Raw genomic sequence first — 16,559 nt, forward strand, 5'->3', positions numbered from 1 at the left:
ACAAACAAAAAGTCATGCAGACAATTAGAGTTCTGTTTGAATATAATTTAAAAAATGAAGTTTTCTTCCCTTAGCAAAGGTCATTCTAAAGACCTTTGAGTGCTTGGGAAAGCAGTATGAACACCCTAAACCCAGCAGGCAGGTGCTGCACCATGCTGACTGTCTTCTGGGGGTCTCCAAGAAATGAGGGACTGTGTGAGGACATGCAGCTGCAGAGTTCTGGCGCCATCTCAGCTCGGCTGTGCCTTGCCTTGGGGGCTGGATATTCCAGTTATCACTCAGAGGCTTTGCACGTTTCCCTATTGAGAAGATCTTCTGTTTTATTTTCCAACTCTCTATTTTGAAATATTTACACATTTAGAAAAAATGAAAGAATAGTACAACAAACACCTGTATACCCCCCACCTAGGCTTGGCAGTTGACATTTGGCCATATTTGCCTCTCCTTTTTTTTTTTTTTTTTTTTCATTCTTGCTGAACTATTCTGAAATTAGTAGATAGCATAACCCTTCACCCCTCAATACGTCAGAAAATGTTTCCTAAAAACACAGTCATTAACCTGCATAGTAATCGTGTCATATCACTTCTAAGACACTTCAACTAATTCCTTAATATCACTGATACACAACCACCCTGCAGGTCTCCCAACCTGTTCCCCAAAGGTCTTCCACAGCTCTATTTGGGAGGTGGTGTGGGGTTTTGGGGGTGTTGTGGGGTGAGACGTTCCCACATTTCATCTGGCCATTCTCTCTCTTTATAGTCTCTGGTTCTAGACCAGTCCTCTCTTTAAATTTTTTTTTTTTTTCTCATAGCAGTGACTCTTTGAGGAGAGCAGACCAGTTATCTTATAGAATGTCCTATGTTCTGGATTTGCTTGTCTCCCGGTTGTGGGGCAGGCATTTCACTTGTTCATCTATCCCTTTATTAACAATAAAGTTAAAGACAGGCTTAAGGGCTCTATTAGGTTGGGTGCTGTGGCTCCTGCCTGTAATCCCAGCACTTTGGGAGGCCGAGGCAGGAAGATCACTTGAGGCCATGAGTTTGAAATCAGCGTGGGCAATAAGGTGAAATTTTTTAAGAATTAAAAAAAAATTAAAGGCTTAATTAGACTCAGGTTAACACTTTAGCAAGAATGCTTCAGAGCTAGTGTTGTGACTTCATGTTACATCCATTGGGAGGCCTGTGATGCAGGTTGTCTCACAGGTAGTGATTCTAGGTTTCATTATTTTTTTTAGAATGATGACAGCAAATTTTCTTCTCTGTAAAGATACAGTTTTCCCATTGCACTTAGAAAATAATTTCTGGGATAATTCATTGCCATGTGAATATTCCATTCCCCATTAACTTTTATTTTTTATTTATTTTTTTTATTTTTTGAGACAGAGTCTTGCTCTCTCTCCCAGGTTGGAGTGCAGTGGCATGATCTCGGCTCACTGCAACCTCCGCCTCCTGGGTTCAAGTGATTCTCCTGCCTCAGCCTCCTGAGTAGCTGGGATTATAGGCTCTTGCCACCACTCCCAGCTAATTTTTATATTTTTAGTAGAGATGAAGTTTTGCTGTGTTGCTCAGGCTGGTCTTGAACTCCTGAGCTTAGGCAATCCACCCACCTCGGCCTCCAAAAGTACTAGGATTACAGGGGTGAACCTCTGTGCCTGGCCTCCCCATTAACTTTTACCCAATCATTTCAGTGCCAATAATTTTATTGCCTGAATCAATTATTTAATTGGGAATTGCAAATAAGGGTTTTTCTAACTCTATGGTTCCTTTTATATTTATTAGTTGGCAGTCTTCTGTGAAAAACAGCTTCCCCCCACCAACTGGGGATGGACTACATTTTATCCTTAAAAAAAAAAAAAAAAAAAAGAAAATATTTAATTTTTAAATACCAATTTTTAGAGTAAGAAATTGGTTTGATAGTTATCTCTAATAGTGTCAAATGAGTATTTTTTTTCCTTTTTCTCTTTTTTGAATATCATGGACTTTGGATGTTTTAAAATCCAATATTTTACCCTCAGTTACAGTCACTATTCATTTTTTATTGAGATATAATTCAGATACCATAAAATTCACCTTTTAAAACATACAATTCAACATCTAAAAATGTATTCACAAAGTTGTGGAACCACCACTACTATCTACTTCCAGAATATTCATCCCCTGCCCCCCTGAAAGAAGCCCTGCCCTCTTCAGCAATCACACCCCATTACTCCTTCCCTTCAGCCGCAGGCAACCGCTCACCTGCTAGTTCTGTCTTGCAGATGTGCCTGTTCTGGACATTTCGTATAAATGGAATCAGACAATATGTGGCCTTTCATGGCTGGCATCTTTCAGCACAGTGTTTCGAGGTTCATGCATGTTTGTAGCACTTCATTTCTAATATTCCATTGTATGGATATACCACATTTTGTACATCAGTTGATGGATACGTGTACGTTTTATATGAACAGTTCCCATGGCTTTTCCACTCAAGTTAGGATTTCTTGGTTTAAGCCAGGTAGGGTAAAAGGTGGAGCTGAGTTTGGTGACTGTGCTTATTGTCAAATGCCGCTTCTTCCATATGTTGCAGTCTAATGCTGGCGTGCTATGCGGGACACCTAGATGTTGTGAAATATCTCCGAAGACATGGCGCTTCTTGGCAGGCTAGAGACCTGGGAGGCTGTACAGCTCTGCACTGGGCTGCAGATGGAGGCCACTGCAGTGTGATTGAGTGGATGATAAAGGATGGCTGTGAGGTACGGGACCTGCCTTGTTAACCACGCACATATCGTTAAGAATCTGAAATGCTGCTCCATGGGGTCTGGCAGAAGCAGGGCCTTTGATTAGCTAACCTTAGAAATGCTGGAGAAAGTTTTCTGACTTAGCAAGAAAGCCCCTGAAACCTTAGAATGGACATGAGAGTGAGCTTTCCGATTGTCATGGGGGTTTATCTTGTGTAGGGAAAAGAAACAGGTCTGAATCCAGAGCTGGACCTGATGCTTCTACTTTCTTTCTTTTTTTTTTTTTTTTTTGAGATGGAGTCTCACTCTGTCGCCCACGCTGGAGTGCAGTGGCGCGATCTCGGTTCATTGAGGCCTCCGCCTCCCAGGTTCAAGCGATTCTCCTGCCTCAGCCTCCCTGGTAGCTGGGACTACAGGCACATGCCACCATGCCCAACTAATTTTTGTATTTTTAGTAGAGACGGGGTTTCACCATGTTGGCCAGGCTGGTCTTGAACTCCTGACCTTAAGTGATCCACCCACCTCAGCCTCCCAAAGTGCTGGGATTACAAGTGTGAGCCACCGTGCCCAGCCTGATGTTTCTACTTTGTTCTTTTGTTCATTTGCTTCTCTCTCCATTCAGTCTGTCACCAAAGCTTTACTAAGCATGTACCAGATATTATTTCAAATGGCGGAGATACAAAGATATTAAGAGAGCCCTTATAGCCATTGTGCTTCTTGTTACTTCTAAAATTAGGTAATTTTTATTCTTGGTTTGTTTTAAAGATTAGTCATTACAAAAAATTTCCAAAGAGGAAACTGACCATATCAAGAATAAAACATTTCAGTTCTTTGCATCTTTACCTGGAAACAGGCAAGTGGTCTACTTTTGATTTCACGTTATCAGAAACTGCAAATTTGATTTAGCAAATAGAAGCAGTGTTGTTGGACGTCTATAGATATTTGAAGATGGGTAATTAGAATTAGATCAATTATGGAAATTGCTGGTAACTTTGAAAACTTTATTTCAAGACTTTGAAGAAATTAGCTAAAAATTTCAAAGCATGGAACTAAAGAATGATGGACAAAGTTCTGTGCTATCTGTGACTGCCAGATGGTGTGTAGAGTGCTGAGAAATTAAGTCGATGACCTGGAAAATCAACTCAAATTGAGAAAAGTCATGTCTCCTGGAAGATGTCAGTAGATTTCTTCTAGTTTGTTTCTGAAGGGTAATTGAGGGAAAGTGAGACTGCAGTTATGGGATCTATCTGGTTCCTGCTGCTGCTTTTGGAGAATTAAGAAAAGTGCCCCCTTATAGGAAAAATCTCAGTCATTAAAAATTTATTACATTTCTTATTTTCCTTATGTTTTAGAGACAGGCACAGAGGCAGAAGGCTGAGTCAGTGGGCTTCCATAGTAGAGCCGGGCCCACGTGCCATGTGTGGTAGTGACAGCCACACACTCCTTGATTGGTTTATGATGAATTCTGGGCAGGTTTTGCACCTAGTGAAAGTCTGTGGTTGAAAAAGAAGGTTGTACTTTGCTGAAAGAAGTCAAGCATCGGGGCCGGGCACAGTGGCTTATGCCTGTAATCCCAGCACTTTGGGAGGCCAAGGCGGGTGGATCACTTGAGGTCAGGAGTTTGAGACCAACCTGGCCAACATGGTGAAACCCTGTCTCTACTAAAAATACAAAAATTAGCCAGGCGTGGTGGTGGGCACCTGTAATCCCAGCTATTAGGGAGGCTGAAGCAGGAGAATTGCTTGAACCCAGGAGGTGGAGGTTGCAGTGAGCCAAGATTGTGCCACTGCACTCCAGCCTGGGTGACAGAGTGAGACTCCATCTCAAATAAATAAATCATTCACAATAGGGCAAATCTCTGCTATCAACATTTAAATACTGGAGTTTTGGAAATGTAGGCTCTCTGGGCTTCAGATATGAATATACTTATTTGGGATAAATTCCATCTTTCTTTGAAGCACTGGAACTACTTTGCAGAGGACAGAACAATAAGCATGGATGTGTTTACTATAGATTTCCACATGACTGGCCTGGTGGCGGATGGATGATGTCAACATGAGTCTTTCCATATTCTGGCAGGTGGCTCACCTGATGCTTCTGAAGCCCATGGGAAGGACTTGAGAGCCAATCACCACCTTCTTCCCAAATGTAATGATCATATACTAAGAGTGACTTATTTACTTGGCGACTGACTTATTCATTTGTGCATTTAATGATCCATGTGATCTCAGGAAAGGCACTTCTCTGAGGTTTATTTTGATTGTTTGTAAACCAAGAATAAAAATACCTACCTCTGATTAACGTTTAGGACCAAAAGAGAAAGTGTGTGTAAAGAGGGTTGAAAGCTGTGTAAAGCATCATGTAATATGAGGTGCTTATTTTATTATTCTTTAAATATAATGGAGTGTGTTGCCCACAGGTTAGTTCTTTGCATGAAGAAGAGCTGCAAATCCAAATCATGTTACAGTGGATAATCTTATATGTAGAAATACCCTGAAGTGCTCCCAAGATCTCCTGGAAATTCCTTGTTTGTTTTTCCATTCTGATGTTTTACTAAAGCTATGGATCATCTTTGAGTAATTCTTCTGTAACAGATTGTGTGTGTGCGTGCACGTGCTCATGTGTGCTTATGTGCACATGGTATGCGTGTGTGCACACACGAGTGTGTGTGCGTGTCTGAGCACAAACACGTATCTGTCTTTACTTCAGCACCACTCTTCATGGATTGGCGATGTCTTCATTGGAATTGGAAGCGACAATATTTACATTTTCTTAATCTAAAATATTTATTTTAAAACACTAAATTGAGAGATTTCAGTGTAGAGAAGATGATCAGGAAACAGCCATCTGATTACTGGGCACACTGTTTTGGAGAAGCCTTTAGTCAGACTTTTCAGACAGAGTTTGTGTAATGAATCTGGTTGTTCTGTATTTTACCTGTAGGTCTCCTGCCTAAAATTGATAAGTATTAGTAAGTATAAGTGTGTATATATATTATTACTGTCTTGTTCCAGAAAGGATGTAAAGCTGCTTACAACAATACATAAAAGTAAGAAAAATGAATGCTAGGTGAGGAAAGTTAGGCAAGAGAAAATAAGAACTCCCCAGGGGCCAAGTGGAAAGTAGTTCAGTTAACTTTTCTAGCCCATCTTTTTTCCACTTTAAAGGATGTAGATGAAGAAGCCGGTGGGGAGACCCTGGGGCCTCTCAGCACCAAAATGTGACTTAAATTAGCACAGTGCAATGAACCAAATATAGAAAGACGGCTATCTAAGTCCGGGTGTTGGGGCAAGCAAATATTCCTTTTATAAGTTTGAATCATTTTAAGAAAAAGAAATTGGGCTCAACACAGCTGTTTCTCTGGCCCAACAGGTAGACGTCGTGGACACTGGTTCAGGATGGACCCCACTCATGAGAGTCTCTGCGGTGTCGGGAAATCAGAGGGTGGCCTCTCTTCTAATTGATGCTGGGGCCAATGTGAATGTGAAGGACAGAAATGGAAAGACGCCCCTTATGGTAGGTCCTCCTCCCGAAAATAGGCAGTTTTCTACGTGGAATTAATGTCAGAGCTTTTTCTGTAATTAGACAATTCTTGTGAGTTCAGCCCTGCACCAGCCCTTGGGTTTGACTGTGTGTGTGTGTTCCCTGTCGGCTTGTTCATAAGGGCATGAGGCTGTCACTAGAATACTTTCGTTGTCTTTTTACAACTATTTAAGGACTAAAGAACCCCTGTCCCCAGGACCACTGTGGGATCAAAACAGAACTGGTGAAACAAAGAACAAGCTGCTTTCTGTTCTGGTTTTAGTGTGGATAGAGGGAGTCCATTTTCCATTTTCTCTGGAGTTGCTACCATACAGCTGCAGAGGAAGCGCTGTGCCTGCAGGCCATGCAAAGCCACAGTGGTCTTTTGGGGTTGCAGGGGGGCTGCTGGGACCCTGCATGTGCCAGGCTCATGCCCCCTGCTGTGTGTGCCCTGGAGGGAGAAGCTCATGCACACCACCCTGGGTTTTGTTTTCTAGGTGGCTGTGTTAAATAATCATGAAGAGTTAGTTCAGTTACTTCTTGACAAAGGGGCAGATGCAAGTGTAAAAAATGAGGTAAATGAGTCCATCTTTATGTAAAGATTTTCCTCGGAGGGGGAGAAAACATTTATAAGCATGTAAAATTTTTGTTGTTTCCTGTTTCAGTTCGGCAAAGGTGTCCTAGAAATGGCCAGAGTTTTTGACAGACAGGTTGGGATGCTCTTTCTGCCTATCAAGGCTAATTTTTAGTCCTTCTAGACTCAGAAAAACCACCAAAACCCTGGATTACATTCGCCTGTCTGTTTTGTTTATCTAGAGTGTAGTCTCCTTATTAGAAGAAAGGAAAAAAAAGCAGAGGCCAAAGAAGTCTTGTGTCTGCTGATGAGAGCACCACTCATCTGCGAAACGCACGTAAAACAAAGTGAACCGTGACTGTTAAACTAGGGATGGGAAATTCTGCATCTTGGGGGGCTGTACATTTATTTATTTAGTTGAAGATTCACTGATCCCACTTTGAAATACATCTTTTTACCTAAGCATGTGCGTATGTGGTACCATCATTGGGTGTCTGTAGAATGGGGATGTTTTCTTGCACTTGCGCCTTTTGGAGTTAGACATGAAACAAAATATTTATGCACCGGAGCTACACAAACACACATGGGGTCTCCCACTCCCGGCTCCTGCCCCGCAAGCTGTCCTTCTACCATGCTAGGCCTTGTTGGAATTCTTTCCCTCATGTGTTTTCAATTAAATCCTCCCCTCCCAACTTAGGGCTTCCAGGCTGGTTGTCAGGCCGCTGCTCCCTCCTGGAGTGGCGCTCCTCCGAAAAGCCCAGGAGTTTTCTCTTCAGCTGTTGGCCTCACATCAAAGCTCAGAATACATATTTCAGGACTCTGATTCTGTTCTATTGGAGGTGTCTGATTGAGGGTCAGCCTTTTTGGCCACAGACAGGTCTAATGTGTTTGCATATACTCATGCCCTGACAATGGAAGACTCAGCCTGCTGATGGGTGGACGATGTAGCCAAAGGGTAGTATATTAAATTTTGTCTTCAGAGCAGAAGGTTTTCTGATGCTGATCATGCAGTTCCTAGACAAGTAGGAATTAACTGCAACCATGTCTGCTGGTTGGGAGCTTAAAGACACAAATGTGGTAGAGCTTCAACTCAGCAAACACACTTCAAAATCAGCAAAAAAGTGAGCACACAGACCACATGAGTTTATGTCTCCAGAGAGACACTGGTTAACTTGACCCCATGGGAAAACCAGCTACATAGGTCTGTAGAGGAGTGGATTTTTTTTTTCCTGTAGGGAAAGCCTAATAAAAGGTAATTAAAGCTCCAAAGCTTTTGCTGAGGGGCATAGAGAAAAAGCACACAATTTTATTGACGTTAGCAATCAGCTTTATTCCAAAGAGCCCACAGAATATTCGTTTTAGGAATTGGATTTGTGGACCATATATAGTCCATTCCTTAGATATTTCATGAGTGTTTTACCTTTTGTACAAATGCAAATTCCTTTAGATTTGCCAGATTAGGTTTTTAAAACCTCTTTAAAAATTGGAGCACATTTACAACTCTCCAGAGGTCCCTCCTTTGGTTGGTGGTCAATGTTGATGTTCACCTTAGTTTCATTTTTTGGTCTGTTGTAGACTGTATTCACTAGCCTGCTCTTATGGTAGGAGTGTGCATCCCTTCTGGTTGACATCAAGCTTGGCAAAACTGCCCACCCTCCCGATCGATATTGAACCATCCTTATATTCTTGAGATCATCTCCCTGGGTTATGGTGGACTGCAGGATTCTTCATGCTCATATGCTATGTATGTTTGCTCTTTTTCTTCTTTTTACTTAATGAGATTAGAAAGTGGCGTATACACTGTTAGAATTTTCCTAAAGAGCAACTCATAGTTTTATTAGCTCTACTGTATTCTAATGAACTTATCCTTAGGTCTACAAATTCATTTCTTCTATTTTTTCCCCTGGGTTTATTTTATTGTTCCTTTTATAACTTTATAGTAGATATTAAGTTCCCTTTTTCATCCTTTACAAATTAATTTATAGATTTAGGGCTATGAATTTTCCCCCAGCAGTGCTTTAGTTACATTATCATAGAAGTTTTCTAAACTTTTCTAATGAAAAATTCAACTGGGAGAACTTGCTAAGTACACATTTCGTAGCCCCATCTCTGCTCTCTGAATTGGAATCTTCAGGGAAAGGGCATGAGCAATGGATTTTAATGGGTTTGAACAAGCATCACAAGTGAGGTCTTCTAATTCTAAGATCTTGAGAATCCCTACCATCACATGTGCTATTAGAAATGTTTTCACTTGCTGTTTTCTAATCTGCAATTCATCTTTGAAAACTAATGAATCAATTCATTTCTAGGGTATGGAATTATTTTTTGAGAATTTTTATTCCTCCAAGGCACTTGGAAAGATGATATATTCTGTATGTTTGGAGTATCCTGTTTGATATATATCAATTATGTCTGAAGTTCTGTATGTACTAATTTTTGCCAGCTTGTGTGATCATAGGTGGAGAGTGGTAAGAATAAAGACTTCTTCGGCTGGGTGCCGTGGCTCACACCTGTAATCCCAGCATTTTGAGAGGCCAAGGTGGGCGGATCATGAGGTCAGGAGTTTGAGACCAGCCTGGCCAACACAGTGAAACCTCATCTCTACTATAAATACAAAAATTAGCCAGGCGTGGTGGCACGTGCCTGTAATCCCAGCTACTCAGGAGGCTGAGGCAGGAGAATTGCTTCAAGCCAGGAGGCGGAGGTTGCAGTGAGCTGAGATAGCACCATTGCACTCCAGCCCGGGTGACAGAGTGAGACTCCGTCTTAAAAAACAAAAAAAAAAGACTCCTTTATTCTTGTTAGCATTTTGTATTTGTATTTTTGTATTTTCTGTAGTTTTATTAAGTTGGATGCTGTGTTTTTTAAATAGGTATCTATTTACACTTAGATTTTTCATACCAAATAACTCCGATATTGTCTCTACCACTGCTTGCTTGCTTTTTGGATTTCTTATGTAAATAGATGAGTTTTAAAAAATTAGGTTATACATTCACATTGTTCAAAAACCATATCATGCCCCACCCCCCGTGTTGTGTGTGAGCATCTTCCTTCCTGTGCCGTGGTCTCACACGTTCATGAGGTTGGTAGCACACACCCCTTATGCACCCCCACCCTGCCAACCATTCTTCTTAGTTTCTTATGTACTGCTCCAAACTTTTCTCAAGCATCTATAAATGAATGAGAATACATTTTTCTACATGAAGGCCTTCCGCCAATTTTTGTAACATTCTCAGTAACAAATGAGAGACACATTGATATTTACCTTTATACAATTTATTGGGTTTAATATTCATAACAATAACTTTTTCTACTGAAATAGCAGTTTGTGTTTACCTGTCGAACCCCAATATGAGAAATGTGTACAAAAGCAACAGACTGTGATAGAAAAAGGTATGTGAAAAAATTAGCAAACCAAAGCATGATAAATGGATGAAGCACTATAAAATTACTTTGCTGTTTACGTAACTGTATCTTTAATCTGTACTGTGCTAAACAGCCTATAGCCAAGTTTTAAAGAGTTACAGGAACAACTGCTACACATTCAAAGAACAGGCATTCACTGCAGCCTCCTGATTTGACCTGATGGGAGGGACAGGAGAATGAGTCACTCTGCCACCACTTTTCCTGCCTTGGATTTGTAGAGGATTTGTTTTGCTCTAATTTGTTTTTCCTATATCTGCCCTACTAAGGTACCTGCTTATAGGCCATGAAAATAAAACGCCATTCAACTTTTTTTTTGTAAAGCTAAAATAATCACATGATACTTATTCTTTGGAGGATTTAAAATGTGCTAAATGGAGGACTAAAGAGTTACCTTATAGGAGAATCATGGGGAACAGAGAAACTGCTTTTTGAAGATGATGTGGAAGGTCAGGGTGGGTTACAGGGCATTCAACCTGGAAGAGCTGAATAGCTTTACATTGAGAATTACTTTGTATGTTAAATCTTCTGGCCATCATTATCCATTATTGGATATTTTAACAATTTTATAGTTATTCTTAATTTTTCTCATATGAAACTGTAATGGCTGTACTAGAAGCTGCCATTACTGTTCCAAAAAGTAAAGGGGATTTTCTCTACAAAAGGAAAGAAAATGGCACATTCACATGTAGGTAAGTAGCTTCTGGAAACATCCTCACTGCACAGAAATGGTTCTCAGCATGGGGCTCCCAAACTTTCTTAGAGTGTCATTTGTTTTAGTATCAGAGTTTTCAAATAGGTTTAAAAGCAGTAGATGTCAATAGGAACTTTAAGGTGAGTCAAGAGAATTTTGTAATTATAGATAAGTTGATTTTCTGTGGCTAACTTCCCCTTCTAATTAGAACAAGACATTGGGTGGGAGGTCCTCTGCTGGACTTAGGCTGGTGGGGTTGCTCTGGGCTGCAGCCCTGGAGAAGGTTGGGCTTTGGGCATCCCTTGGGTGGGCCTTGTAGGGATAGCCACACACTGCAGCAGTCACCACTTTGGCTGATCTAAAGTAGCAATGGAAGTAGTGATTTGACTGTCAAACTGGAGATGCATCGGCCTGTGGTTTGACCTGGGAAAGGGGCTTGTGTCTGGGTGATAGGGAAAGGTAAACAGATGTATTAGCCACTGGCTTTGTGTGGGCAGCTGTGTTGAATCAGCCTGCTGCTGAGTCACAGGGAGTAACTGCAGCTGCCTAGGGCTGGCTTCTAGCATGGAGAGGAGAGGAAAAGGGGTCCTGCAATGTCCCCCAGCAGCCTGTCATTGTGTGTGAAACTCCTAGCCTGAGAGCCCCACCTCTGGTCAGCACTAGTGTTGGGAGACTTCTGGGAGGGATTGTGACTTTCAGCTGGGTAACTGGTGTCTGGCTGAGGCCATCTTGAGCGCAGTGAGGAAGGATCTCCAGCCTGAGTGTGCCGTGGGCCCCCCGAATACATAGGGGAGCCCTGCAAAGCAGTTTTGAAATGAGTAGTACATCTCACGAAGAAAGTCTGCAAGAGGTCGAGGTGCATGAGAAAGATCTGGCCCTGCTGCCCTGGCGCCACCTTGTGCCCTTTCTGCTGCTGGGGGTCTCATTGGCTCAGAGTGCTTAGTAAACATCAGTGGCGAGGGGGCAGGAGGATGCTCAGCCCTGCCAGTCGGCCCAGCACCAGGCTCTTTTTAGCACCGTGGAGACCATAGGCTCCTTAAGAACATTTTGACACAGTTTTAGCCGGTTTTTTTTTTTTTTTTTTTTTTTTGAGGATGCATTGATGTATTGATTTGCCTGGGAACAATGGCCTATAGTTCAGCCTGAGAATTCTCATAAAGTTAAGAAGGCATAAAAATGCCCCCCCCCCGAGACTCGTCAGGAGTATTGACTCTCCTACAGTTTAATTTGCTGCTTTTGTGGTTTCTGTGATGTCATCCCACATGTGTAAGCTGGAAAAATCCACGCTGTGAAATGTAACCTCCTGTGTGTATTTCCACAATGGAGAATGTTAGGCTTCGTTTCCCTCGGTTGCTACACATCTGATTACATGTGTCAGGAAAACAAACTTAAAAAATTTCAGGAGACAAACCTTTCAGCGGAATTGCCTGGAACCCATGAAGTGAGGTCATAGAACCTACAACTATAATAAGCTGTAGGAAGAAAAGTAGCCTCTGGGCTACTTTGTGTCTAGTCACATTGACTTTCCAGGTGATGGCCCTACAAAACTCAAACCACCTCTATTATTCATGCCTATACAGTCTTTTAAAAAAATACTAGATTGCCATTGAAATATAAGTATTGATTTTTTTTGTTTTGAGGATATAAAAAAGAATACTCCACCCCGTGCCTCCCCCAACCACAAAACACCCTGGTTATTGGTTCCTAAGTTATGTTAAAATGGAATTTGCTGCTAAATATGCTTCACTTGATAAATACTGCATCTTGGAAGGATTAATACTGTCCATATTGTAAGGGAATATTAGTTTAAATATGTTCTTATTCAGAAATAAAATGCATGGCTCTATAATAACACATTAGTACTGTAGAGATAAGAATGTGTCATCAGCCATGGCCCCTAAGTGGCCATTGATGACATGGCATAAGATCACAGTTTTAACCTCCTTTAATATCAAACTCTCCTGGCTCTCTGAAATAGAAGCATAGGAATTACAGCTAAGAACAAACAACAAAAGAAAAACTCAGTTCATATCCTCTTATAATTGGAGGAAGGGCTAACATGCCAGATCTAAGGATTTGGGCATCTAAAAAGACAATGCCCACGTAATGCACCATAAAATTCTGTAAACCTTTTTAATAGTATATATATGTTTGGCTTTAGTACAATTACCAAGTGTAATCAGTTACAGTAATTCTGTATGTATCTCAGCAGTATTATTTTCCAGCATGGCTTTACATTTTAAAGAACTTAATAACTATAGAATAAACAGATGCATGCTATACGAGTTGGAATGTATTAGAGCTGGGTTCCCTTTTGTGTGTGTTTGTGTCACGTGTTTAGTTTATCCATAGTCATGAATACTATGTTGCCTAGATACAGTGGGGAACACCGGGAAAGTGAAATGCAGTTTTGTTTTCTGGAAGGCAAACCAAGATTCTTGGTACATATTTTTCTGTTTCAAAGCATAGGAAAACTGTTGACCCCCAAAAGAAGGCTTTCTCATAAAACACTCAGAGTGAATTATGTAACTGTTGTCAATTGTCTTCTAATGTGAAAACCAGTCCAGAAGACAGAGGCATCATGGCATTTTACCTTATCTGAGTATTTTTGTATTTCTCATGCCATTAGTCACTTTAAAGACCTTGTGAAACATGGCTCCCTAGTCAGGCATTTGAAGAGTGAAGAGTTCAAGGGGATGCTGCCCAAGCCAGCATCTCATAATATTTAGGAAGTTGATAAGCAAGTTGATTTCCTTATCACATTCTGTGATGCTCAACAGGTAGGTTGCAAGTGTTTAAGAAATAGGTTCAGACTCTGTTAAAAGCATCTTTTAAAGATTCCTGCAGCCAAGTTGGAAAAAGAGGATGCCCCATAGAGAAGGTTCTTTGTCCAATATCTACGAATAATGATAGCAGACATGAACTATACCCATGAACATCACATTCCATTGGTTGTAGTTTTTGCAAGCATAAAGAGTCTGCCTAATTGTTAATAAGTTGAACCTTGCAGTAAACAGACTTGATTGACTAGATCTGGTTAATGGTTCACATCTGAAAATAGTTGTGGTCCCATGGAAAGCCTCATCTGTCTGAATACAGGATCATTGTATTACAGTTTGTGGTGATTTGCTCAGCTCCAAGCAGTATAGGGAGGTGGCGGTTTGCAGTGCCTGGGCAGTAGGTTTCTTACAGAAACACCACCTTTCCCAAGCTAAATAACCTACTGGTGGCAGTGCTCTAGAAAGGACAGCGAGAAAAAGAAGTGCTTGGCATTTCTATCAAGCACCGCCTTGAGTGACACTACAGACCCCTTCCAAACATGCTCACGGCTGGTCAGCTCAGGGTCAAGTTCTGGCTTGTCTAGTGTTCCAGTCTCTATCCTGGTGTGGCTACACCTTAAGATTCCTGTCTGCAACCCAGGTTCTCACCAAAGCTTCCTGGCCAGAAGCCAGATTTCTCCCAGGTGTCCCTGGGAGCCTGCCTGCCAGTTGTCAAGGGGCACAGGGCCTCCCTGAAAGCCAAACACAGCCTGGACCTGAAGCCCCTTGGCTCTGGCCTGAGATGGGGAATCCAGAAAATCAACTGAGATTCTACTTGGGATCTCTTGAGCTGCATCTGGTACCATAAGCACAGCTGGGGGTAGTTGGGGGACTGCTTTCCAATAAGGCCTTGATCAGAAAGCAAACACATCCTGTCCAGAATCCCATCAAGCAGGATATTTCAAGTTCACTAAAATACTAAAAGCACAACAAGCCTTCCTGCCATGGAAAACTCAGTGATGGTAAAAATGCCTACTACAGCGCACTGCACTGTAATCAACATTCTGCATAAATTAATAATTTACAAGTACCTGAGCAAGTAGACAGAGCACCATAGCACAGCACAGCACTGACGGCAGTAGCTCAAAGTTCTTATAGTAATGATGTTTTAAACATTAAAAAAAATCCTAAAAGTTGGTACAAAAAACTCCAACTGGAGCTGAAAGATAGTGCAAACTTCTGTCTTCACTGTTGAAAAAAGGTGTCGGCTTCTCACTTAATATAGGCGGTGTGGGTGGATCTGGGCACTTGGTGTGGATATTGTGGAGCAGGTCTGAATGAAGAGAGGAGAAAAAAAAATGATCAGAGACCTTGAGAAGTGATTCTGAGGATAGAGAGGTCTGGGGTTGGAGATGTATTCTGATAGTCTGAAGGGTTTTCTGTGTCAGATACCACTGCCCCTCATAACGGGGGTGGGAAACCTGTCTCCAAAGCCGCACTTCCCACCCACAAGTCAACTCTAGACCAGCACTGTCCCACAGAAAAAATGTGAGCTACACAAGAAATTTTAAATTTTCTAGTAGCCACATGAAAAAAGTAAAGAGAAAGGTGCAATTAATTTTAGTAATACATTTAACTCAGTATACCTAGAGGATTATTTCAACAGGTCATCATCAATAGAAAAAAATGGATAGTTGACATTTTAGGGTACTAAGTCTTCAAAATACAGTAAGACTTTTACCAGGCGCAACATGCCTAGCAGTCCCTGCATCCCACAGCACAGCTCCAGAGAACAGGGAGCAAAGGTGGGCACCCAGTATCCCTAAAAAATGAAATGTGCAGGACAGGACCAAAATCAGCAACTGACCAGAGGTAAGATTGGCCACAGCTTGAGGGCATTTAAGAAAAAGGGCTTCCCCTCATTGTTTTCATGTAAAGTAGTGTTTCTTCCTCAAATAGAACAAGAAAAATAACTTCAAGATCAACATGCAAACCACAATGAAATAATTAGGATGCTATGCAATTTTTCTCTATTTATGAAGTTGGGAATTAAACAATTGTCCTGACCCTTTGACCGCCTTTATCTCTGACATTTATTAAGCAGCTCTTTCTTTCACGGGCCAAACATTCTTCCCAAGAGCTGTAATAAAATCACTCCAGTGTGTCTTCTCCTTCAGAGATACAGGATTACTGAACCCAGGGCCTGGCCAACACAGTACCTTTGGTTCTTTTGAGCTCACAAAGCAGGCTTCCTGCCAAGAGGGCATGTGTGTCAGAAGAGTACTTTGGCTGTGGGTTTAACTCATCTGTGTGCTGGTAAATGTTGAACAGCCCATGGGGTTGGGGGCAGGAAAGCCTGATTTGCAGTATTTGCCAATGTCCATGGTGTAAATACTCCTCCTGTGGCTGGTTTCAAGCTACCACCTGACATCACTAAACATGGAAGAGATGCAGGCAGCTACCATGACCTAGGTTTTCTGCCATACAGAAATAATGGATGAGTGCAATCTCAAGAGCACAGACAATTATAGCAAAATGGAGAAAAATGTGAAGTGAGTTTTGAGCACTTATTACCTTTGTTTCTAATATAAAATATCATAAATTTGTATAATTTAATCCTTAATATTGGCTAGGTTTAACACCTAGCTTGCAAAATTCCTGGAAATTGGTTATCTCTCACCAACCAGGGTAAGCTGGCTCCCCTACACCATGGGGTTAGCCTCCCAGCATAAGTTGGGATTGAGGTCTCTGCCTTCCTAGTGGACCAAGCAGGATAAGCTGTGAAAGGTGATTCCTTTTGCCCATTGTCCCTGTTTTCCCAGTGTCCTGCTGCCAGGCAGCTGCTTTCCCTTACTCCCCATATGTCCCTTG

The 16,559-nt window shown here is 41.6% G+C and overlaps 2 protein-coding genes across 7 annotated transcripts in view; one reads left to right on the top strand and one right to left on the bottom strand.

Annotated features, from left to right (window-relative positions):
• FANK1 (fibronectin type III and ankyrin repeat domains 1) overlaps positions 1-7,274 on the top strand; it is a 113,029-nt gene extending 105,755 nt beyond the window's left edge. For all 3 annotated transcript variants that reach the window (NM_001350939.2, NM_145235.5, NM_001363549.2), the window contains 5 exons: positions 2,566-2,731; positions 6,089-6,232; positions 6,736-6,813; positions 6,904-6,948; positions 7,055-7,274. In NM_001350939.2, the coding sequence (NP_001337868.1) occupies positions 2,566-2,731; positions 6,089-6,232; positions 6,736-6,813; positions 6,904-6,948; positions 7,055-7,120 (499 nt within the window). In that variant the 3' untranslated portion in view covers positions 7,121-7,274. The remainder of the gene's footprint in view (positions 1-2,565; positions 2,732-6,088; positions 6,233-6,735; positions 6,814-6,903; positions 6,949-7,054) is intronic.
• ADAM12 (ADAM metallopeptidase domain 12) overlaps positions 10,073-16,559 on the bottom strand; it is a 376,087-nt gene continuing 369,600 nt past the window's right edge. For all 4 annotated transcript variants that reach the window (NM_001288973.2, NM_003474.6, XM_017016706.2 and 1 more), the window contains one exon: positions 10,073-15,021. In NM_001288973.2, the coding sequence (NP_001275902.1) occupies positions 14,961-15,021 (61 nt within the window). In that variant the 3' untranslated portion in view covers positions 10,073-14,960. The remainder of the gene's footprint in view (positions 15,022-16,559) is intronic.

The sequence above is a fragment of the Homo sapiens genome, chromosome 10 (assembly GCF_000001405.40).
Source record: "Homo sapiens chromosome 10, GRCh38.p14 Primary Assembly".
Lineage (NCBI taxonomy): Eukaryota > Metazoa > Chordata > Mammalia > Primates > Hominidae > Homo > Homo sapiens.